Genomic DNA, 25,585 nt, shown 5'->3' on the forward strand with positions numbered 1-25,585 from the left:
TTCTAAAAGAAAATAGTAGTTCCTTGTTCTAGTTACTCTCTTTAGAGTCTTAGAAGTAGTCAACTCTGCATTACTCTTAACATTTTTTTTTTTTTTAAAGATAATTTAGATTTTTTTTTTGTTGTGGTTGACACAAGTTCTCACTCTGTTGCCCAGGCTGGAGTGCAGTGGTGTGATATTGGCTCACTGCAACCTCTGCCTCCCTGCAACCTCTGCCTCCCTGCAACCTCTGCCTCCCTGCAACCTCTGCCTCCCGGGCTCAAGCAAAGCGATTCTCCCACCTCATCCTCCCAACTAGCTGGAACCACAGGCGTGCACCACCATGCCCAGCTAATTTTTGTAATTTTTATAGAGATAGGGTTTCTCCGTGTTGCCCAGGCTGGTCTTGAATTGCCTGGGCTCAAACGATCCTCCCAGGTCAGCCTCCCAAAGTGCTGAAATTACAGGCATGAGCCACCATGCCTGGCCTAGAATTTGTAAAGAACTGTGAAAGTTAACAATTGAAACAAACATGTTTCTTACCCAAGGACTGTATGTCTTTGAAGTATAAAGGGTGGTGTACAGGTGATTTTACTATTACTCATGCATTCATCTTGCCATATACACATCATATCTGTGGATCTTTAATAGGCTAAAATACCTAGAAATAACAATATGTTTGGCACTTAGAGAAATGAATTCCTGTGTCCCCTTTTTTCCTAATAGCTGCTTTCTCTGTAATTACCATGGGCTAGAAGAAGCAAGGCCAAACATCCCAAATTATTTTTTCTTTTTTTTGAGACAGGGTCTCACTCTGTCACCTAGGCCAGAGTGCAGTGGCATGATCTTGGCTCACTGCAGTTTCCACCTCCCAGGCTCAAGTGATCCTCCTGCCTCAGCCTCCTGAGTAGCTCAGAGGCGTGTGCCACCACACCGAGCTAATTTTTATTTTTTTACATTTTGTAGAGACAGAGTCTCCCTATGTTGCCCAGGCTCCAGATCTTTAAAAGTTAAAATCACCTTAACAGTAGCAAAAACCTCTTCAAGTATACTCCATGGCTTCATTCAGCACACAGTTATTGACTGAAACATGCTGGGTGCCAGCCTTACTCATCCTTTACAGAAAGAACTGTTGGTTTGGGCATGCCACTCTGTACACACAAATGGTAACTTGAGCCAGCGGGGTGTGTTTCTGTCAGCTTTCCTCTGACTTCACCACCTGCTGTTTCCTACACCGTGGTTTCTGATAGCCTGAAGCTACTTTACTCATACTGCCTCATATTTGAAGTAGTGTATCCTGTAAAGCAGATTAATTGTAAAATATGTAAACACCATATAATAGGAATCTAAAATTTCTGAAAATACAATGTCACATCAGTGAGGACCTCATTACAATTTTTTTTTTAATGTTAAACAAACCAGCCTAATATTTTTGAAACTGGATTTTGTTGCAACACAAGGTGCAGAGAAGCAGCTCGCTCTCATCCTAAAGTAAGGGAATGTTATGAAATGTGATGATGAGGAAATGTTGCAGGTGATCTGTATCTTAATGAGAAAGTGTTGCTCTTTTTCGGGAACATATCTGGGCTTCACTTGTAATCCTAGGCCTGTTGAAACCTTTTCCTCGAATTGGCTAGTTAACCACCAGCTTGATGAGATGCGTAGAGTTTAGATATGCTGTAAGAATAAAGCATGTCATTAAACATATATTTTGCCTTGCTTTCAAACCTTTGCTTTCCTGGTGGAGGTTAAAGGGGAATGGGTAAGTGTTGCCTAACTGTCAGGAAGTCTGCATCTTATTCAATGTTTTGTCCTTTTAAGTCACTTGAATTCTGTGTAAGTACACGTATCTCTGGGTGTTGTTGCGGCAGTAAAAATGTGTTTGAGTCTGTGTAGTAGGTTGTGCTTTTTAAAAAAAAAGTAAGTCGTAAGTCTTCTCAGTTTGTGTACTGGGTTTCTTTTTGTTAGATTCCTTTTAAGGACTAACTTGAATGCTCTGTGTTTGGCAAGGGATTAGGTCAAGTCTCCATCTCAGGCCATAGACAAAAAGGAGTTCCAAGTAGATTAAACATAAAAGATAAAATTCTGGGAAAAAAATTTTTTTAAGCAGACTATTGGAATAATTTTCTGGCTAAGAAAGGCCTTTTGAAGCTATAAAAACCAGAAGTCGTTAAGAGGCAAAAATGGACAGTCAACAATATGCAAAAATTAAAATGTCTATGTTTCAAAATATATGAGACCAAGGGTTACATAAAGGGTTACCCCTGTTACATAAAGATTCCGAACAGTTCACTTTGAAAGACACCCACAAGCCTTAAACAATTGGCAGAGGGTGGGAAGGGACATTCACAGATGAAGTAAAAAGTCAGTTATTTAAAAAATACATGAAAAGATGCTTAGCTTCTTGGGTGATCAGAAAAATGCAAGTTATAAAACAAAATAGCATTGTTCCTCTGTCAAATGAGCAAGTTTAAAAGTCTGGTAATATCCAGCTTTGTCAAGAGTATAGGACAGTGGATATAATATACATTGTTAGCATGGTTGTATAAATTGGTTAAGCGATTTGGAAGGCAATTTGGCAGTGCCTGTTTAGATTTAAAATTCTCGTTCCCTCTGCCCCAGAAATTCTATTTTTCTCCTTCCTCTCATTCTTCTCCTTCCTCTTTTGGGCACATGCACAAATATGTGTGTACATGGATGTTCACTGCAGTGGTGTTGGTAAAAGCAAATAAACAGCCCAATGTCCATCAGTAAAGGGATGGCTTAAATAAATTATGATACAGCTAAAAAATACAATGAAGATTAAAACTTATGTAGATCACATATACACATAAGATTTCCATCAAAAAAGCAGAATATGTGCAGCATAATTGCATTTTGGTTCGAAATAAAACTATATATGTATTCATGTGTTTATGTATAGTTAACAGTTTTGAAATATATATATCAAACTGTTAACAATGGTTACCACTGGGCAGTAAAGAAGGGGCTTTCGTGTTGAATTTTATAGACTTCTATGTTATTTTCATTTTTATAAATGTATCTAATTTGTAATTTTTAATAAAACAAAATAAATTCAAGGACAAGTATATTAGAGAGTATCTACTCAGGACTGTAATAATGTTTATTATATCTCAGACCTCCCAAATATGTAATGAAATGTAGAATGTACTACTAGGCATAATTCGTTGGCTTGCAGAAGGGACAGCAGTGTTTCGATTTTGTACTACAAAATGCATTGTGATACTCCAGGTGCCATTCAGCTGTGTTATCTTTGTGAGGATAACAGTCAATGCAAAAAGATAGATATTGACATCTAATAGCAACAGGTTTGTATTTTTTTAATTTCATGAATTTTGCAGTTAACAAATGATGAGCATGAGACATGTAGTACAACATTACTGTCAGTCTCCCTAGGTTGAAAAATCCGGGGTTCACTTATACTTTTGTGGGCACAGTCATCAGATTCTCAGATTCCTCAAACGTCTTTGGGACATAGCTTACTATAATATGTTCGATTTTTAGAAGTCTAACATTGTGACAGTGTTTTTTAATGTAGGCAGTCTTAGCCTTAAAAATATTTTGTTTTTAGAAAAACTTAGCCTGGTTTTATCCAAAACTATAATTTTTCATGTTTAACAAAAATTTAATGTGGTACCTTGTATATAGCACTATTCTCAGCACTGTAGATAATAGAAAATTATCAAGTCTGCCATTCATATGTTTAAAATCTTTTTAGAAAAATCTAGAGAAACACATGAAAAGGCCAACATGTGATGAAGTTCTCAATAAACATTCACTAACTCTGCTAGGAATTTAAAAGAGGAGAGGAATCAGTGTAAAGTGATGTGCTCAGGGAAGACCAAATGCTTTCAATTGAGTCTGACCTTGATGGCTAAGGCTTAGATGCGTAGAAAATACATGGCCTCTCTTGATCTGGAACTCCCAATACTTGGAGGGTGAATTAAATCAAATTTGACATCCGTAACATGTTAGTAGAACATAAGAAATGAGAAGACCTATGCTCACTGCTGTTTTGTTGAAGTTTATCTTGAGAACACAGGCTGAGTGTCTAAATCAGTACAATCTTTTGGCTTTCATGGGCCACATTGCAAGAATTGTCTTAGGCTGCACATAAAATACACTAACACTAATAATAGCTGATGAACTTCAAAAAAAAGCTTGCAAAAAAAACTCATAATGTTTTAAGAAAGCTTACGAATTTGTGTTGGGCCTCATTAAAAGCTGTCCTGGGCCACATGCAGCCAGTGGGTTGCGGGTTGGACAAGCTTGGTTTAAATGCTTATCCTTGGACTGGTACAGGCCTGAATGCATCCAGATTGCTGAGGGAGCTTCCAAAAAATAACCATGCCAGGGCTCATCCCCAGAGATTCTGAGAACTCTACTGCATATACAGCCTTCAGAAGTCTGACCAGGTGGTTCTGTTAGGTAGTCAATTTCAGGAACCGCTGATCTAACCTAATCTCTTTTTCACGTCAGGACTAATCCTAAATCATTTCTAGAAAATATCCTCTTAAAAATATCCAAAGAAGAATGGACTTCTTTAGTAGTTATCAGTCATTAGCCAGTCAGTTCATTCTGGAAATTGTTTGTCTTAGTGTTACTCTTATAACAATTTTTAACTCATTCTTTTCCTTTTCTTCTCCTGACAGACATTTTTTTAAATGTAGCCAACAATACCTTTTTCCTCTACCTTCCATAGATTTCCATAGATTAAACATCAGAAAGTATCTCATTTAGTAACAACTGGCCATAATATCACTGCAGTTTTGAGGGACCAGTATACACGATTACAGGGTTGGCTCAAATCTGGCCCAATCACTGCCTGTTTTATAATAAAGTTTTATTGGAACACAGCCAGGCTCCTTCATTCACATATTGTGTGCTACAGTGGCGGATTTGAGTAGTTGCAACAGAGGTGAAATTTGCCAGCCTCCAGGTTGGAGCTTTAGAAAGAGTTTTTTTGTTTGTTTATTTTTTGTTTTTGAGACGGAGTCTCTCTCTGTCGCCCAGGCTGGAGTGCAGTGGCGCGATCTCGGTTCCCTGCAAGCTCCGCCTCCCGGGTTCACGCCATTCTCCTGCCTCAGCCTCCCGAGTAGCTAGGACTACAGGCACCCGCCACCACGCCCGGCTAATTTTTTTGTATTTTTAGTAGAGATGGGGTTTCACCGTGTTAGCCAGGATGGTCTCAATCTCCTGACCTCAGAAAGAGTTTTAAGGCCGGGCGCGGTGGCTCACGCCTGTAATCCCAGCACTTTGGGAGGCCGATGTGGGCGGATCACAAGGTCAGGAGATTGAGACCATCCTGGCTAACACGGTGAAACCCCGTCTCTACTAAAAATACAAAAAAAAAAAAAATTAGCCGGGCATAGTGGCGGGCGCCTGTAGTCCCAGCTACTCGGGAGGCTGAGGCAGGAGAATGGCATGAACCCGGGAGGCGGAGCTTGCAGTGAGCCGAGATCGCGCCACTGCACTCCAGCCTGGGCAACAGAGTGAGAATCCTTCCAAAAAACAAAGACTTTTAATATCCTCATCTAGGAATTTGGGGAGAAACCTTATATTTCAAAACCGGCAAATCCATGGAAAATGTTTTACTACCTGCACTCCTCAACACATCCCATGCAGCCACTGTCAGCTGGTCTGAATACACAGGCTAAACCTGTTTGCTACACTTGTTTATCATGTTCTATGAGGGGAAAAAGGAATTTCTGCTTCCCCCCTTTGTGACAAGGTCAGAGATTTTAGAAATATTAATCTTACCTAATGAAGATGGCAGCCATGGAGCATATAAAAATTGAGAAAAGAGGTGTAATATCATCGGCCTTTGCCAAACGGACTTGAAGCTGAAGTGGCTGCTGTGTATATTTGACTGTTGCATCAGCGAGCTACAATATGCAGTGTGTAATTACTAACATTTAGTAGAGCAGCTCTGTAACATAGTCCCAGAAATGTGAGCAATATCTGGTGTTTGTACTTCGCTTAAATGATGTTTCACTAGAATTACCCCCAAATACGTTGGGGTGTTACAGTGTGCCTGATAAATGAAATTGTATTGAGACCAAAATTGTTAATAATAACATCTCCCTTATAGCCCCCAGTAGGTAAATGTACATTGTGTAAAAGTCCACGTTGGAACCAGTCATATTACAAAGCAGTTTGTGTTCCTATTTCTTGGTCTGCCATAATCTTATGTTTTCCAAAATTGGATTGGCATTTTGGGTAGTTTTCCAAATCCAAGAAGAAATATTTTTCATTTTCATATGTTGACCTTTGTGCCCTTTCTAAGTGGTTAATTTAATTTAGGTGTTAAGAATGAAAGTCTCTTACAGCCCCTGAACCTTAAAATGTAATAATTTATTAAAATTGATGTATACTTGTAAGAGTAAATTAAGCTAATTGAGACTATTGTTTGGGGGGCTGTTGAGACCAACAGATTTCTTTGCTTAAAAGTGAAATGCTGATTTCACTGTTATCCTTAGGGATGGGAGAAGCTCTTGCTTAAGGGGATAAGAGGCTGATATGGCCCCCTCCTTCACTCCTAGGTGTACACTGCACCAGCAGGCTTTCTATCACATCTGAGGACAGGCTGGGTGTTATCAGTTTACTGGAGGGGGAGGACATTTCCCCAGGGCTTCAGGTCGCATTCCAGATGTCCACCAGTGTCTCGCTCTGTTACTCAGGCTGAGTGCAGTGGTGTGATTTTGGCTCACTGCAACCTCCGCCTCCCGGGTTCAAGCAGTTGTCCTGCCTCAGCCTCCCAAGTAGCTGGAATTACAGGCATGTGCCACCACGCCCGGCTAATTTTTGTATTTTTTGTAGAGATGGGGTTTCACCAGCCTGAAACTCCTGACCTCAAGTGTTCCATCCACCTTGGCTTCCAGAAGTGCTGGGATTACAGGAGTGAGCCACTGCACCTGGCCTAAAAGTCTTATTAACCAGTCAATACCCTGTGTTTCAAGGGAGTAACAATAGATCATGGGACATAATTAAGCAAAGCAGCTGACCTTTGAGGAGGTCCAAAATGAGCAGACGAGTAGGAGTTCCCGTCGATCAAGGGATCCACTTGAGCCCCTAAAGGATTGCTTATGGCAAGAAGGTAAACCTAGAGGGAGCAGAGGACCAGGCAGTTAGAGCAGGGAACTCCTGAACAGAGAAGCAGATTGTTACCTAGAGTGAAGGTAAAGTCAAGACCAGGCTTTTGGCCGGGCGCGGTGGCTCACGCCTGTAATCCCAGCACTTTGGGAGGCCGAGGCGGGTGGATCATGAGGTCAGGAGATCGAGACCATCCTGGCTAACAAGGTGAAACCCCGTCTCTACTAAAAATACAAAAAAAATTAGCCGGGCGCGGTGGCGGGCGCCTGTAGTCCCAGCTACTCGGGAGGCTGAGGCAGGAGAATGGCATGAACCCGGGAAGCGGAGCTTGCAGTGAGCCGAGATTGCGCCACTGCAGTCCGCAGTCCCACCTGGGCGACAGAGCGAGACTCCGTCTCAAAAAAAAAAAAAGACCAGGCTTTTAGAATAGGACAGAAGCCCAAGTAGGAGAACTACAGCGCAACATCAGAGCTGGACAGCAGAAGAGAGAATTTAAAAAAAATATCTGGCCTGGCACGGTGGCTCACGCCTGTAATCCCAGAACTTTGGGAGGCCTAGGCGGGCAGATCACCTGAGGTCAGGAGTTCGAGACCAGCCTGGCCAATATGGTGAAACCCCATGTCTACTAAAAATACAGAAATTAGCCAGGCGTGGTGGTGGGCACCTGTAATCCCAGCTACTCAGGAGGCTGAGGCAGGAGAATTGCTTGAACCCAGGAGGCAGAGGTTGCAGTGAGCTGAGATTGTGCCAGTGTACTCTAGCCTGGGTGACAAGAGTGAGACTCCATCTCAAAAAAAAAAAAAAGCTAACACTTTTAGTATGCCAGGCATTGGTGTAAATATTTGTCAGTCCTCACAGTGAGCATTATAATAAGACAGGTATTTTTATTATCCCCATTTTACAGATGAAGAAACAGGTGCCACGAGATTAAACTTGCCCAAAGTCAACCAGTTAATAGATTGTAGAACTAGCTCCTAAATTGAGACGGTCTAACTGCAGAGCCCTATTCTTGATCATTACACTTTGCAGTCTTGACACTAAGTTATTGTGTGTTTGGCTCAAGCTCCTAACCCACTCCTGCCTGACATCACCTTTGGTCCTAGAACCAAGGTGGCTGATCTTGACTATTGAACCTACTGAGAAGTCTGGCAGGACCTGGCTTGGATAGAGACAGCTATGTTTCCAGTGTGGAGCAAAGTTATAATGTGTCACCATATCACCAAAATGTAAACAAGGAAGGAAAGACATCTAGCCATTTGAGTTCAGCATAAAAGAAGATCCAAATGGGGGAAAATTTATCTTAAATCCTCATCTAGAGAAACAGTTGGGGCTGCCCAGAAAAAGAACAGTAAGAACAAAACAATGACTGCAAAGTGGCTAGTGTGTTCATGTGGGTGTAAGTGTGAGCAGAAATGATAGAACTGTGAAGCCAAAAATTCAACCTTTGGAAGTGTTATTGCATTTTATACAAGGGAACTCCTTTTTTGGTTGTTTGGAGAATTCTCAGCTTTAAAAATTGCTTTTATCTGTGACAATAAAGATTCCCTAAAGTGGAGCAGCAAGCAGGCATCCCCTACTTGCTGAATATATTGTAAATAACAGGTAGAAATCAGAAGTAAGCCTTGCCTTGCATTCTGTTTTCTCCACCTCTACCCCAAACATTTGTTAATTCAAATAAGCTAATAAGTATTGAACCCTATTACTCACTGTCCACTGAGTACATACAGATAGATGTTTGGTTTGTTTAATGTAATCATTTTTTGCTTTATTTTTAATTAATTTTTACTGAATACTTGAATGGATTAGATAACTGGTATTTTTGTCAGATTTTTCCAAAATCATTGTTAAGACCCTGCCTACTCATGTCTGATTTCTAAGAAGCAACTTTAATTTCCAGTGAAGTGTTTGATGTTTTACTCCTTAGGCAGCATAGGAAGGGGTAAAAATAAGATATAAGGTTTCATAAGATAAGACCCTTATAAGAATTATAGTAATGAAAATAAAATTTTTTTTTTGAGACGGAGTTTCACTCCTGTTGCCCAGGCTGGAGTGCAATGGCATCATCTCAGCTCACTGCAACCTCCGTCTCCTGGGTTCAAGCGATTCTTCTGCCTCAGCCTCCCGAGTAGCTGGGATTACAGGCATGCGCCACCATGCCTGGCTAGTTTTGTATTTGTAGTAGAGACGAGGTTTCACTGTGTTGGTCAGGCTGGTCTCAAACTTCCGACCTCTGGTAATCCCCCGCCTCAGCCTCCCAAAGTGCTGGGATTACAGGCATGAGCCACCGTGCCCAGCCCAAAAATAAATTTCCCAATAGCAAATGTGATTGTCCTCCAAAGTCATTCTCCTGTTGCTCATAAAATAGTAGGGACAACTCGTAAAGAAAAGTAGAATCGTTTTGGCCATTTTGGATGATCCATTTGAGTCAGAATTAAAATGCAAACCTTAAAAGCATTTGGCGTAATAAATGGCCTCTGTGAAATTTTTAAACAGTATAATCCTGGATTTTCCTGTGCACTGAATATGCAAGTTAAATTTATACAAAAGAAAACTACAGGACCTTAATACAATTGATTATTGCTGTAAATAATGACTTCCTTAATTTTCTCATCATGTGTCTGTGGAGCTTTTAAATGCCTAAACACAGCAGCAGTCAGCTTTGCTTCTCGTGGAAACCATTTAAGGCCATGGTTTTTTTTTTTAAATCTTCCTTGTCCTTATACTGAATAAATACTACTTAGTTATTGGAGGTTTTCAGAGTACTGAATTTATATTGATTGCACCCTTTGCTTTCAACTTTAAGTAATAAACTCAAGTCAAATTATTTTTAATAATGACATGACTTTCTGATGAAGCCTGTTAAGTCACTTCCCAAATCAAAATATTTAAATTACATGCCTCAGGACTCCAGGCACTTTGTCTCAACTGCCATTATTAGGACAGTTATGGGGTAAGGCTTTTTTAAAAAGTGCAGAGAATAAGAGCTTGAATTATAGTGCATTTTTTTTTTCAGCATTACTGCTTAGACTCTTTTCCCAGACACTTGGACTAAGATGAAGAGATTCCTATGCCATATGTCAATCTAAAGAGGGCAGAGGCTTGGGACTTCACTGTAGTTGGGTGCTGGGTCTATTCAGGGGTTAATTTAGTTCTACTTAAAGCTGTGACTTTTTCCACAGGTGGATGAAAGCCAAACTGGAGAACCCGGCTGGCTTGGAGGAGAATTAAAAGGAAAGACAGGGTGGTTCCCTGCAAACTATGCAGAGAAAATCCCAGAAAATGAGGTTCCCGCTCCAGTGAAACCAGTGACTGATTCAACATCTGCCCCTGCCCCCAAACTGGCCTTGCGTGAGACCCCCGCCCCTTTGGCAGTAACCTCTTCAGAGCCCTCCACGACCCCTAATAACTGGGCCGACTTCAGCTCCACGTACGTGTTGGTGGGCTCTTTCTGATGATTTTTGAAATCCCAATTTGATCATTTCCCCCCCACCCCCTTAAGTATTTTCATAGTCTTGGATTGTCCTTCTATGTGAGGGAGCTGGCTCATTTTCAGTACTCCTTTCTCTAGCTGGCGAATTGGAGATTACAGTCCCTGAACTGGATTTAATGATATCATTGTCTAACAGTGACTTACCATGGTACAAAATGAAGCCTGTTATCTTGTTTTGTTCAATAATGTATTTGTATCTATCATTCTTGTGGAAGAAGTGGAGAAATACAGTTTCCTAATAATCTATTTTGACATCCATGTCAGTCAGCAAATTTTCAGAGTTATTTCCTGCATGCAAATAGCACTTTTTTTTGCCAGGCAGAAGCAAAAATTGAATTCAGTCATGTGGTTCTGAATAAGATAGAAAGCTGTTTCCTTTAAAGCTTTCCACTTTCATTAATCTTATACAAATGTACAGTAGAATGAAGAGGTGTTTGCACTTGGCCAGTTAGTTCTGTGCCCTGGTTCATCAGGAAATGGCATTTTAAAAACTGTGTGTAAGCAGAGGTTTGAAATGATAGATGAAATGGTTGTTCAGACTTCCAGTTATAGGGCCATGACCTAGATGAGCAATTGTCTAAAAATATTTTATACTAGGATACAAGTATGAGTGATTTGAATAAGAAGTGTTTAAATTTTTTTTCAAGTCTAATCATCTTTCAGAAGAAACAAATTGAAGGCAAGGAATCCAGATGTATTGCTGGAGAAGGATCAGATGGAACAAATAGAGGGAAGAAAGAATAATTACTCAGGGCGGGAGGAAGTGGAGGGAAGGATGTAAGGAATAGCAAGTTTTTCATACTTTATTTTCACATAAAAGGCTGAAGGCGCTAAAGAAGGTCCCCTCATCTAATCTCTGCTTTAAGAAAAAAAAGCCTTCCATTAGCTTGACTTCCAAGTTGAAACTTTTCCTTACTCTTTTGGTCTTGACTGAAAAGTTCTGAGTTTTTAAACTAAAGCTTAGGCTAAAATAGAAGACTAATACCATATTTTCCAGGATTTGTTTTGCTGGGGATCAAATCAGTATGCCTCTTCTTCAATATATGTATGGTGTGCAGTTCTCTTGCTATAATTATGGGCACCTTATTTTCCAAATGAAAAATCAGGAATTATTTTGATTTTCAGATTTGTTTGTATATCTTATAAGGATGTAAAAAGTAAATTGCCTTTAGATCTGCAGTCACACAGACATGTTTATCTAAAATTATTTTTTATTATTTATTATTATTTTGAGACAGGGTCTCACTTCATCACCCAGGCTGGAGTGCAGTGGCATGACCATGGCTCACAGCACCCTTGACCTCCTGGGCTCAAGCAATACTCCTGCCTCAGCCTCCTAAGTAGCTGGGCCTACAGGTGCATGCCACCATGCCCAGCTAATTTTTAAGTTTTTTGTAGAGATGAGGTCTCACTATGTTGCCCAGGCTGATCTTGAACTCCCGAACTCAAGTGATCCTCCTGCCTTGGCCTCCCAAAGCGCTGGGATTAGAGGTATCAGCCACCATGCCCAGCCTGTTTATCTAAAATTATTAAAATCACAAAACTAGAACTGTCCCTGGGACCCAGGACAACTGGTTGCTGTCAGGATGCCACTTGTAATTGCTGTGGCATCTAGGCATACTACCAGGTACTTGCTGTAGAGTGCATGGGTCTGAGAAATGGTGTTGAGAAGCTCCAGCTCCATAGGTGGCATGTAGCTTTTTTTTTTCTCATTTAACTATTGTTATTACAAATGATAATGATCATGTGAGGATGTTTCTCCGGGGCTTTGCAGTTACAGAGTATTTCCCTAGCCTGTATTTCATGTACCCTCACAACTAACCTTAAGTGGCACAGTATTGTTCCCATTTTATCAATGAGGAAATCAAATGCCTTTTCCTCTCCTCCTTGTTCTTTTATTTATTTTTCTTTTTGAGACAGAGTCTTGCTCTGTCACCCAGGCTGGAGTGCAGTGGCGTGATCTCAGCAGCTCACTGCAACTTCCACCTCCCAGGTTCAAGCAATTCTTGTGTCTCAGCCTCCCAAGTAGCTGGGATTACAGACTCAATGCCACCACACCCAGCTAACTTTTTTTTTTTTCTTTTTGAGACAGAGTCTCACTCTGTCATCCAGTCCAGAGTACAGTGATGCGATCCTGGCTCACTGCAACCTCTGCCTCCGAGGTTGAAGCATTTCTCCTTCCTCAGCCTCCTTAGTAGCTTGGATTACAGGGGTGCGCCACCACACCCAGCTAATTTTTGTATTTTTAGTAGAGATGGGGTTTCACCATGTTGGTCAGACTGGTCTCGAACTCTTGACCTCAGGTTATCCAGCCACCTCGGCCTCCCACAGTGCTGGGATTACAGGCATGAGCCACTGTGCCCAGCCTCCTCCTTGTTCTTTCACTGTAGAAAGCCACATTAAGTATACTAGGTTTGTGTTGCACAGGCTCATTGGTTGCCATCTTTTTCTTTTTTCTTTTTTTCCTCTTTTATTTATTTATTTATTTTTTTGGTACTTTACTGTGGGTAAAAAGCTGGCATATTAGGGAGTGCTTGCTTTTTTTTTTTTTTGGTACTTTACTGTGGGTAAAAAGCTGGTATATTAGGGAGTGCTTGTTATTCATGGTGTTGTGCTTTTCCCTCCAGGTGGCCCACCAGCACGAATGAGAAACCAGAAACGGATAACTGGGATGCATGGGCAGCCCAGCCCTCTCTCACCGTTCCAAGTGCCGGCCAGTTAAGGCAGAGGTCCGCCTTTACTCCAGCCACGGCCACTGGCTCCTCCCCGTCTCCTGTGCTAGGCCAGGTAAAGGCAGCCAGTGAGAGTGTGAAGACTTAGCATGCTATCTAGTGCCAAAAACTTCAGCAAATGCTTTTTGGCAATGTCATTTTGAAGCAAGCCTTGTTATGTGTGTCTTGGTTGGCTGGCAGTATGGGAATCCAGTGCAGGAGCCAGAAATCTGCTGTGAATAGTTGGGAGTTGGGGGTGGGGGTGGGACACAGTCAACTTCTCCTGCCTGGGTTGATGAAGGAAGCTTCATTGCAGAAGTGGCACTTGAGCTGCATCTTGACCAGTGGGTAAGATCTTACTAGAAAATGGAGAGAGCCTGCCTGTCAGACAGAAACTGCTGGGAAGGCTCGAAGGCAGACAGTCAGAATGTATTTAAGGAAAATCACATACCCCTCCATTTGTCTAGACCATTGAGTTTTTTTTGGAAAAGGTAGACCAATTAAAGGTTAATGGGAGGCTCTGAAATGCCCTGCTCGGAAAGAATAATGTCTGAAAGGATAAAGGTGGTTATTCTGAATAGTTCTCTTTTGCTTAATACAATAATGATAAAATACTCAAATTTCTATCAATAATCATGCCAAACAGCAAGTGCCCATCTGGGAGGCACTGGAGGTTCCAGCATCATTTCTGATCTGAGAACACCCAGATGGAACACAGGGTCTAGGCAGATCCATCTGGAGGAGCGGTGTGCAGGAAGATTAGAGTGGAGGGCCGGCAGGGCGGTGCCACCAGTCAGGGGGCTGTTGGTGTCACCCAGCTGAGACCTAGGGCAGGCCTGGACCCAGCTGAGTTCATGTTCACCAAGTAGGGAGGTGCCGGTGGAAGCAGAAGAGGCGAGCACGTGGGAGAGACTGCAGAGGAGAGTGAAGAGGTTGGAGTCACAATGCCTATGGGAGCCGAAGGAAAGGAAAGAGGGCTGGGATTGAGAATAAGGGCCCACCTTAAAGCGGGAAGGGAGAAAGGCAGAAAATGAAATGAATGCGCAGTTAAAGGGAAGAGTTGTGTTTTAGTTGTGTTGAGTTGAAGGTGAACGTGGGACCCTGTCTGGCAGGCTGTCGGAATATAGATCTGGAGGATGGAAGAGAGCACGAGACTGGGATTATAGATTGGAGCCATTCCCATAGAGAACATTATCGGATATCAGGAAATGTGTGAGGTCATCCAAGGAGAGGGAATACAGGGAGAAAATAGCAAATCCACAGGCACGTGTGTGTTCTGTGGTCTGGAAGAAGAAGAGGAGCTACTCAGCAGGAAATGGTACTTTCCTTTGCATCTGTCCTAGCTCAGCATTTAGCACGTGTCACATGCTCAGTTAACAGTAACTCAGTGATGGGGTGGGGGTTTGTTCCAGAGAGTGGAGGTGGGGGATGGGAGGTTGCTTATGTTACTAAGTACCGTGGTCAGGGCAAAGAAGAGACCATTCATTGTGACAGGTAGAGCTTTGTAACCTGGGAAGGAGAAGGATGAAACCACACTGCAGGGGCGTAAAAGGAAATGAGCAGCAAGAAAGTGGAAAGATCTGCAAAAGGAAAGAGAAGGACCAGAGTGAGGGGCCTCGGGAAAGCAAGAACCAGCCATGTTGCCAGTGGAGATGGGAATGGAAAAGTGAAGTGTCAGAGGATATAGTTGGTATAAGGCAGAAAACATTAAAAGCACAGAAAAGACAGGAGTCTTTTTCTTCTGGATGAGGAAGAGTGAAGAGATTGGAGAAGATAAAGCCAAGAAAAATGTTCAAGTTGGGCTGCATGATATTGTTCTCAGTGAGGAGGGAGCCTGGAGGGGCTGCGGAGTGTAGAAGAGGTTTGGGAGCAGGCGAATGAGGGATCCGACAAAGAAGAATGAAGAATTGGGCCGGCGCGGTGGCTCATGCCTGTTATCGCAGCACTTTGGGAGGCAGGCAGGTCACCTGAAATCAGGAGTTCGTGTCCAGCCTGGCCAACGTGGTGAAACCTCATCTCTACTAAAAAAAATAAATAAATACAAAAATCAGCCAGGCATGACGGTGGGCGCCTGTAATCCCAGCTACTTGGGAGGCTGAGGCAGGAGTATCACTTGAACCTGGGAAGTGGAGGTTGTGGTGAGCTGAGATCACACCACTGCACTTCAGCCTGGGCGACAGAGCAAGACTGAGTTCTCAAAAAAAAAAAAAGAATTGCCTGGCTTAATTTAACCTGAGTCCGTAATAGATCATTGCACATTGCCTCAGCTTTCTCTAGCAATGCTTCACAGCTTGGGACTAGGAATAATAATAGTTATATAGCTCACCACTGTTATTTCTATCATAGCAATACTGTGCATGGATCTTACTAAACTTCCTTCCCCCTCCCCACCTACACACATCTTGCATTACCATGGGATTGCTAAACTTTAATAGCCTTTTGGAGAAAGTATCATCTCTACTTTACAGATGTGGAAATCGAGATTCAGAGAGATTAAACAGTTGCCAAAGCCAGAAAATTAGTAAGTGACAGACCTGGGATTCAAACCCAGAGTCCACATCCAGCCCAGGCTGGGGTCATTAGGGCCCATCAATGTGAAAAGGTTGACAAAGCAGACACGGGGAAGATTTCTCAGGGGGAGAGATTCTGAAATACCAGTGAGGGCACAGTTGAAAGGCCAACCCTGGGGTCCATACGTAGAGAAATCAGTGAAGTGGCGGAGAGGATTAGACAGTGCAGAAGGGCTGTGGGATGAGGAGCTACGCGGGCAGCAGGTCCACTGCAAGAGGGGGAAAATGGAAGGTCGAGAATATACAATCTTAGGGGTGTTCGAAATCCAGGGAAACCCCCTCAGCTCTGAGGGACTTGAAGGAGTGAATGTACAGCTAAGTGGAAGGAAATAGGATAGGGATGTTGTGGGTTTAAGAAGGCAAGAACCCATGAAGACCAGGAATTAGAGGTTATCAACATAGATGCTGAAACTATTTGACCTGTTGTAAATTCTCTGCTCATCAGACATAATCATAACTTAATGTCAGTATAATATAAATGACTTCTAAAGGCATGTACAAATTGGTTCTGAAGTAACTCTCTCTAGGCATTATCTTTTGTTCTTGTCCATTCATATATATGATTGAAAGTTGGTGTTTCATTTTTTACTAAATGCTTTAAGATACTGTAATGGTTTAATGCTATAGCTTAAAAGATAATAAATGCCTCACCCTGCCTTTCCAGCCTGACTTCCTCCTCCACCCCTCCATGAGACTAGGCCACATGCAGCCCCGGATTGTGCTTCTCTTCCCGGACCCCCTGCAGTGTTCCACCTCGAGGCTTTTGCCCATGCTGCGCCCTCGGCCTGGAGTGCCCTTCCTCCGAAGCCCTAGCTGTCAAAGTCCTTCTCATCCTTCAAGGCCCATCTCAGATGCTGCCCCCTCTGTGAAATTTACGCTGATGCCCCCAGGCAGAATTCATCCCTGTTTTCTCTTTATTCCTGCAGTGAATAGTAGGAACTCCTTTTTAGTATATTTCATTCTGCCAGGTGGTACACTTGGTTGTTTTTATCTCTGTCTTCCCCATTACTTGTGAATTACCTGCTAGTAATACTGCCCATCTTTATAGTGCTTTGTGGTTAATAAAGTGCTTTTCCCTAAATTATCTGGGGGAGGCAGAGACTGTTTTTTTCATCTGTAATCTCATGGGGCAGTGCATGTAGATGTACAATAAATGGTAATTACAATGAATTTATGCTAACCAAATCCCTGTTTTCTCTGAAAAGGAACTAAAACAAGCATAATCCAGATAGGGCCTATTTCCCTGGGTCTACCTAATCTAAAATGCCAGTTAATGATCTCATGATAGTTCATAAAATGTCTGCTCCACTGTTAATCCTCCACTAAAAATGCCAGTCAAATTGGAAATGGGGAGGTGTCCCGGGCAACTTGAGAGTGAAAATAGAACCAAAATATAAAGGGCACACAGCCAGATGCAACAGAATAATTGTGACCTCCTGGCTTTTTGAAATAGAGAGTTCTAGATGGTCAGACAATGACTTTGTGAAGAGGCTGGAAGGCTTTGGCCTCCACTTTTGGAAATAAACAATTGTTGGGAAACAGTGAAGCATCCAGCCCTCCTGCTGTGCTGCCTCAGGGCCCTTTGTGGCTGTGTGTGCTTGTCTGGCCTGTGCTTGTTGGAGAGGTGCCATGCTCACGTCTGCCCTAATTGATAACAAAGCGCAACATAACGAGAGGTCCTTTATGTTATTCCACACAAGGGTGAAAAGGTGGAGGGGCTACAAGCTCAAGCCCTATATCCTTGGAGAGCCAAAAAAGACAACCACTTAAATTTTAACAAAAATGATGTCATCACCGTCCTGGAACAGCAAGACATGTGGTGGTTTGGAGAAGTTCAAGGTCAGAAGGGTTGGTTCCCCAAGTCTTACGTGAAACTCATTTCAGGGCCCATAAGGAAGTCTACAAGGTATTTTTGTATTTATCTGCTTGTATTTGATGAAAACAATATTAGGCGTTATATTACTGTTTGCACTAGTTAAGATTCACAGACAGGAGTTGCGGGATTAGTTTGTCTTCTAGATCTTTTAACTGCAAAAGTTATAGTATATAGAGTACCAAAAGGGAGCCTCTTATAGATAAGTGCATTCTTTCTTCTCTCATGAAAACCTATGTGCCTTGTTTTTCATTGCCTTATGCAAGAAGGAATTCAGCTCTGAGACCTGGAACACTCTTGTGCATTAGTTGGAGATTATGACTCTCTTTATGCTTATTACCCAGTGCTGTACCAGATATATGTGAATACTTGGAAACCCAAAGGATCTGGGGAAATGATCAGAAGGACTTAATTGTCTTTTTCATTAGGGTCTTATAGCATGGAACCTAAGGTTGTTAATTCCTCCAACCATATTGATGTTCAAAACAAATTATGAGCTTTAAAAGGATGAAAATAGCAAAAATATTCAATGAGCATCTCTCAGTCAGTCATGCCTTGAAATAAACTAGTACATAAGCCATGTGTCCAGTATAGCAAAGTGCTGAAAAATAAGAATGCGAGCTTAGAGTCATGCCTCTGTAGTACCTTATTATGTGTTTTTAACCTAGCTAAGTACAACTATTTCAGCTGTGGGTCGTTTAAAGTTTTAAAAGTTAAGCAGTTTTAACAGAAAAATCAGTGTCATTGTACGATTTTCTTTGAAGATAAAAATTAAAATACTCTCTTCTTCCATTATTGCAGCATGGATTCTGGTTCTTCAGAGAGTCCTGCTAGTCTAAAGCGAGTAGCCTCTCCAGCAGCCAAGCCGGTCGTTTCGGGAGAAGGTGAGGGCCTGAGTTGTATTATGTTCTTCAGAAGGGTCAAGGACATTGTGTAAATGTTTGAAATGAGATTGAATTTCATCTTAAGATAGACTGCATTTATGATCAGTATATTAAACTACAGTAAAATGTAAGTTTAGCTCTTTACAGAATCGGAGTACTTCATGGAAAATACTGTCAGGTATATTAATCATCAAAAACTGAATTTTCTAATTATATTTTATTATAAGCCCTTTGACTTTTAAAAGAGACCCATTCAGTTCACTAAGAATCGAGTTTTCCGAGCATCTCTATAGCTAAACTATGGTCATTGCTTCACCTAACATAGTCTAGTCTCATCTGACTTCATAGATAAGTATTTCGTTTTAAAAGTAACTACAGGCCGGGCGCGGTGGCTCACGCCTGTAATCCCAGCACTTTGGGAGGCCGAGGCGGGTGGATCATGAGGTCAGGAGATCGAGACCATCCTGGCTAACAAGGTGAAACCCCGTCTCTACTAAAAATACAAAAAATTAGCCGGGCGCGGTGGCGGGCGCCTGTAGTCCCAGCTACTCGGGAGGCTGAGGCAGGAGAATGGCGTGAACCCGGGAAGCGGAGCTTGCAGTGAGCCGAGATTGCGCCACTGCAGTCCGCAGTCCGGCCTGGGCGACAGAGCGAGACTCCGTCTCAAAAAAATAAAATAAAATAAAATAAAAGTAACTACACAGACCACTAGAGTTCTCATAGTAACATGAATGCCATCTGTACCATCCCAAATGAAACTGAAACTCAATTTCTGTGCTCCATGAAAACAATCAAACCAGACAATTTAGGACTAAAAAAAAAAAAATCATTTTGAGTATTTATTATGCAAATAATTGCCTTCTTTCTCAATCTCCACTTGGTGACATAATCCTAAATATTGTATGGATGCCAACTGAATAAAACTTAGGTAATTCAGGCCCTCATGGTAAAAATCTCACATCTTTTTTACATTCAATACAGCCATCATCACATCCTAACTGGAGAGTGCTCCCTGAGTTAGATGGGTTTTCTGTGTAGACATCTGAGCAGTGTTGTAGTTAACAGATGCCATAACTAACCAATTCTATAGTAATTCTTTATGGGTTCCTTGAATACATTACAGGAGAATAGAATGTTTTATTTAGTTTGTCTGCCATAATGAGATTGTTAACATTCCTTAGAAACCTTGCCCAGTGAAAAACAGAATTATTAAAACAGCTGTTTTAGGTGGAGACAGCAAGGATTAAGGTATAATGGTATTTCAGACTCACAGTAACAATGTTCTTTTTTCAAGAGGTTTTTTAAAGTAAGAATTTTTTTTAGTTCATAGTATAGCTATAAAACCTTATCACTAAACAAATCCAGCATCTAATTTTTGCTATTACCATGAAAATGATTAACAGAGTTCCCTTTATACATTCTCATTATCTTAATGACTTTTTATCCACTGTTAGGGTAACAAGGCAAAAAGCTCCTTTAAATACCACATGCAGTCAGTTTAGTAAAAAGCAACTTATGCACCTCACCAAAAGATAAAGAAAAAAACTTTGGTGTGTTACATCCAATCAAGGCTCACTGGAGGGCTGGAGTTTGTATCTTGACTCACCCATCTAGTAACAGTATTATTTTGTTTATGCCTTAGCTTCTTTGTCTGTAAATTGGCCGTGATAACTACCCCTTGAGGTAGGAAATTATTACAAGGATAATGAGATAACATGCAGAAGGCTTTTAGAACAAAGCTCAGTAAATGTCTGCTACTTTTATGTCGTTTTTGCTTCATTCCCTGGATTAGTGATAAAGCCACATAAAGTATGAGCATCCTCATCCAATAGCAGTATGGAGGAGTGTTTGTTTGTTTTGAGACATGTACTGAGGACTCAATAAATAGGTCACAAGTGAACCATGCATGTACTTAAAATTGGGCAACATAATAGAGTTAAATTCTGATCTTAGTTTGTATTTATTACAGCCAATTTTGAAATGACTTAGTTATTAGAAATATTTGGAAAGGTTGCTGGCTTTGTGAAGGGGTGGGAGGACATTAGAAATTCTGAGAAAAGCTATTTACATATATTAATGAGCCTTTTGTAAATACCACATTGAACATAATCAAATTTAAAGTAAACTGTAAACCAGATAAAATAGATGATTGGCTTGGGTTGCTTTTAAAATATTTAAAATATTGGCTTGGGGATGGCCAGTGCCCTCTGTGGAATGTTTCCTGAGAAGGGGTAGCTAAAGAGGAACCTCTGCCTATCCATCATCATGTCTCTGGGTTTCATTGTCACCCTAAAGCCACTCTCAGATGTCTTTGTGCAAGGCAGGCAGGGCAAGGCCAGCCTCAGTCTTCCCAGTCTCCTTTATATTTTATACTGCAATACCAAGTTCAGCCAGAGTTCATGTTTCTGAAGTTTCTTAAGCATTTGGAAAGTTACTTCAAAATTTGGATCAATTTTAAAGAAAGTAACTTTGAAGTTGAGGAATCACTGGGGAAAGTATTGATGGCCAAGGATCCTGTCTTAAATGGCCAAATATGATCTAAAGAACAGTAACAGGGAGCAAAATGAAAAGGGAAGGGTGAGAGTATGGAGAAGTCAGAAAAATGAGTCTGTTAATGAAGAAAGAATGACCCTATTAAAGCCACCAAACTTTGATTTCCTTGTGTGGGAAATCATTTTTCCAATTTTCACTGTGGAGGTATGTGTTACCAGCGCCTCAGGGCTAAAGACAGAGAGTCTTCTGTTTTCCCTGGGACGTTTGAATGACCTGTGTCTGCCATGGGGCCCAGTGCTCTCCACCAGCAATTGCTGCTGGCCTCGGCGCTGACAGGTCAACACTGGCGCTGAAGGAGGCCCTTGTTGCTCCAGGGGCTGCCCACGTGAGCACAAGAGTTAGAGGTTTTTGTGTTTTTGTCTGTTTGTTTTAGTTTTCATTAGTACCTCCTGCAGAGGCTCTGATAATCAACCGAAGGAGTTCTCCATAAAAAATTCCTACCTCTTACTCAACACGAGGCTCGACATTAAAGGAACATCATCTGAGGTTTAGAGAGAAACATACATTGTCCATCATAAAAATGAACTTTTTGGGTAAATGGTGATTTTTCTGTTGCTTTAAAAAAATACATACAAAAGCCTAGGATAAAATGGAGAAAAAGGGGAAATAAGAAACCTGTGCATCTTTCTGTAAATCTTTTATCCTGTACCTAGAACCTCCATCCAGGATTTTGTGTCTGGTGATCTTTCTGAGAGTGTGATTTGGTTCTAAGCCTTAATAAAATCCACCAAGAGTGATGCAAAGTTCTACATCTAATTAAAAAGGAAAGTTTCTTCTGTAATGCACACCCTTCAAATTCAAGACACAAAGGAACATTAGTTCTTATCCTTTAAGACTAAATTACATGAATAATAAAATGTGATAAACTGTGATTTGTCTTTTTAACTTGTTGAAAGGCTTTCTGGGATTGGGTTAGACATTCCTTTTATCATCAGTCCTCTCTACCTGTTTGTGCTCTTGAATGACAACTAGATGCCCATTTTTAACTAAACAATATGTGTAACTCATTTTGTGTTCTAACAGCTTCCTATCATATTGTGTATATGGCACAATAGGACATAAGTTTTCAGGCACTTCAATAAGGAAAAGTATGTCTTATTTAATTTATGCGAAGGATATATGCTATCTAACAATTTTTTAAAAACCTGTGACGTAGTACCCTCAAAACTGAAATACACATATTTAATATGCTTACCAAGAGCCTGCATATGAATGCATCTGACCCAGTGCTCAGCACAGAGTAGGTATTGTGTAACTCTTAGTTAAAAATAAATGTAAAAACCATTTTCATTCAAAAAGAAATCATGATGCTAAATGGTAGATCACTCTTAAATACTCAAGTGTCGGTAAACATGCAGTTGGGTTTTTTATTCCTGTGTCTGGGTCTTCCCAGGAATTGTCTCCCTGTCTGCAGCTACTGAACTTTTATGTGCACTGGGGGAATGTGGAGCCCAGGGCATTCTGCAGCTCTGTATTTTATCTGTGACTAGCCTTTCTCTTGAATGGATCTTGTCCTAACTTCCTTATTCGTAAACTTGCTTTTGCAAAGCTGTCTGGGATTTCTTTAAACAATCAAGCTCTCTCCGTATCTCAATATTTCTCCCCACCAGAATTTATTGCCATGTACACTTACGAGAGTTCTGAGCAAGGAGATTTAACCTTTCAGCAAGGGGATGTGATTTTGGTTACCAAGAAAGATGGTGACTGGTGGACAGGAACAGTGGGCGACAAGGCCGGAGTCTTCCCTTCTAACTATGTGAGGCTTAAAGATTCAGAGGTAAACCCACATTAACTGTTTCCTCTCCCTTTCTGTGCGGTGATTCTCTTTGTGGGGAGTCACGATGTTTGACAGCGGAACTTTGTTGGGTTTTGCTAAGTTCTGGAATGTGACAGTAAATCCAGTGTGACCTGTCATTGTTTGATCTTGTCATTTGGCACTGCGCAGTAAGCACTGGCTTCCCCCAAGCAGAATGCCATCAGGGCTAAGTGGAGGCTGAGTGTGATGGGGCTGGTCCGCATCAGCTGGGAGGATAATGTTCAGTATTAAGCTCTCTTCCTGCCTGTAACTGACTTACGCTTTGGAGTAAACTTTCTTGATTAGATCATTATGGTCATTGATTTTTAAATGCCCAAGAATGGTAGCAATATTTTGCCTGTATAAACAGAAGTATTCTGGTGATAATCGCCCCAGAATATTGGATATTATTAGAAAGTTTTTAGAATTTCTGGTTTTGCCCACACAGTAGAAAGACACAAGATCTAAGGGATGGGTACACTTTTGGCTAGGCCTTAGAATCTCCGTTGATCAGGACTGAATTTAAGTGCTGTTATCCGTATGAATTGGAAGTGCTCTCACTGTTGTTAAATAGAGCCCTAAAAATTTGATCACATAAACTGTGGTCTTAAGATAGTGCAAGTTGAATGGAATGGTGGGGTGGACCTACCACAGAGCATGGGAGTCAGTCTTGTAGGAGCCACTTGCACGTTAGTGGAGAGTTTCAGGGTATAAATGGAGTCATTTAACAGATCCAATGCACATTTAAAAAAACCAACAAGAATTAACTCCTTTTTTTTTTAAGTGTTGACAGTCAATTCACAGTTATTTTCTTTTTCTCCTCATACCTCCTAGGTACTGAGAGAGAAAAGGCTGGCAGGGAGCCTGTAGGGGCCGCTTTCTCAGGAGTGAGCAAGTGGACAAAGTTCTCTCTCTCTTTCAAATGCCAGTAGTAGAGTGTATACTGGGCTCTTACATGTGCGGCTCCGTGTACTCGGAGCTGCTCTGGGAGCGAGGCTGGGCCTGGTGCCCTGCTCTAGGAGTCCTGCCCTTGGCCTGCTCACCTCTCCTGCAGCTCCCAGAAATGATTTTATTTGCTTGGGTTTTGTTTTTTTAAGGGGTGGCATTGTTTTGCTTTTTGGTTTTTCTTGCTGCGGTCTTGAGAGCAGCTAAGTGGAATTCCCATGGATGGATTTACATAAGTCTGCCCACCCTTGGAGAATCTGGCAGAAGCCCGGAAGAAAGTAATTTTGCCCTGCGAGACAGCTGGCATATTGGACTTTTCAGACCTGGAAACAGAGAATTCAATTCTTCTCCAGGCCAGCAAGTCGAGTCCAATGAGAGTCATACAGATGATATTTCAGGGGAATTGGGTAAAACACTAAAAGCCAAACTCAATTTCTACTACCGTGCATGAAAACTCTTAAAGTGACTTTACCTTTTGGATCAGTTAAAATACGAAAGCCATTACTTGTAATGTATTTTAATAAGTTACAGTTTTCTACTTTAATAAAACCATCCGAAATAAATTTTAGGAAAACACACAGTGACTTTTTTTTTTAAGGTAAGTGGAGTTGTAAGGTACTTTCTTAACCACAGTCTTAAATTATTAGCCACAGAAGAACTAGCAGTACTAGAAATTTTTAGATATACATCTAGCTATACTATTCAATAATAATGAAAAAAAAACCTGAAAACTCAGCTCTTTCGTCCTACTTGAATACAGAATTCAGTGTAAAAGCAAAATATCCGACCCAACCTAACACCAGACCCAGCTTCAGATACCAGAACTGACGTCTGGGCATGGGGAGAGTCGTCCCATCCTGCTTCCCTTCTCTGTATGGGCAGGTCTGGGGCACAGTCTGGGGGACTTTATAGGTGCAGGGAGGACAGAACATGGCCTTCTGAATCCATCTCAGCTTATGGGGCTGGCTGTGGTTTTTCAAAGGGAGCACATTGAAACTACTTGAACTCTAGGGTACTGCCAATTGCCTTGTTCTTTTTATGGAGTATAGGGAGTAGATTCTAAGCCTGTACTAGGAAAGTTAACTGGTCACTGGAGTCTTGTTTCATTGGTATTCCTTTTTTTGATATGCAGCCTATTGAAAAATAGTGAGAGATTGCTTTTGTATAACTTTGTTCGTTAATAAAGCAGAATCAGAGTAAAAATTTAACCCGAACTTTTCCTGGTAAATGTTTCTTAAATTTCAATAAGCAAAATAAAGAGACTGTAAGTTGTGTTCCTGGTAGATAAATGGCATATTTTTATTCTTTCAGTAACTCATGTTTTGTTTATTAAGCCTTTTGTTTTGTTTTAATTGGAATGCTTAATTTACTGCAAGATAGACTCAAGCATAAATTAATTTAGAATAAAGTACTTTGTAACAACAGATTCCGTTCTGGCTCCTGTCCTGCCTCTCGTGGTCTCTGTTGTTGGCTTACTTGGCTGGTTTAAAATTCCATGAGTATCCCAGAGAGGAATTCAACCCCAGAGCACTTTTTAAACACTTGATAGTTGGGAAGAAATATGCTCTGCCTCTATGCATTGATAGAGAAATTTCAATGTATAAACTCTGTGAAATTGGGTGGAAAGGCCACACAGGACAGCCACTGCCTCTTTGGATAGAGAGGGGTGAAT

At 41.3% G+C, this 25,585-nt stretch overlaps 1 protein-coding gene across 30 annotated transcripts in view, besides 1 other annotated feature; it reads left to right on the plus strand.

The window, feature by feature from the left end:
• The window catches only part of ITSN1 (intersectin 1), a 257,361-nt gene that overhangs the window by 158,203 nt on the left and 73,573 nt on the right, over positions 1-25,585 (plus strand). For 9 of the 30 annotated variants that reach the window (NM_001331010.2, XM_017028432.3, XM_017028430.3 and 6 more), the window contains 5 exons: positions 10,272-10,519; positions 13,210-13,369; positions 17,564-17,769; positions 18,538-18,620; positions 22,784-22,950. In NM_001331010.2, the coding sequence (NP_001317939.1) occupies positions 10,272-10,519; positions 13,210-13,369; positions 17,564-17,769; positions 18,538-18,620; positions 22,784-22,950 (864 nt within the window). Of the gene's footprint in view, positions 1-1,726; positions 1,742-10,271; positions 10,520-13,209; positions 13,370-16,527; positions 17,034-17,563; positions 17,770-18,537; positions 18,621-22,783; positions 22,951-25,585 lie in introns of those variants that run through there. The other 21 variants (XM_017028428.2, NM_003024.3, XM_017028431.3 and 18 more) reach the window with 5 other exon arrangements.
• Positions 959-1,460: an enhancer, noted in NCBI's record as "NANOG hESC enhancer chr21:35173966-35174467 (GRCh37/hg19 assembly coordinates)". NCBI's record gives its function as "activates a minimal SCP1, AML or CMV promoter by ChIP-STARR-seq in naive H9 embryonic stem cells {active_cell/tissue: H9 hESC(naive)}" and the evidence as "EXISTENCE:reporter gene assay evidence [ECO:0000049][PMID:30033119]".

This window comes from Homo sapiens, chromosome 21, assembly GCF_000001405.40.
Source record: "Homo sapiens chromosome 21, GRCh38.p14 Primary Assembly".
Taxonomy (NCBI): Eukaryota; Metazoa; Chordata; class Mammalia; order Primates; family Hominidae; genus Homo; species Homo sapiens.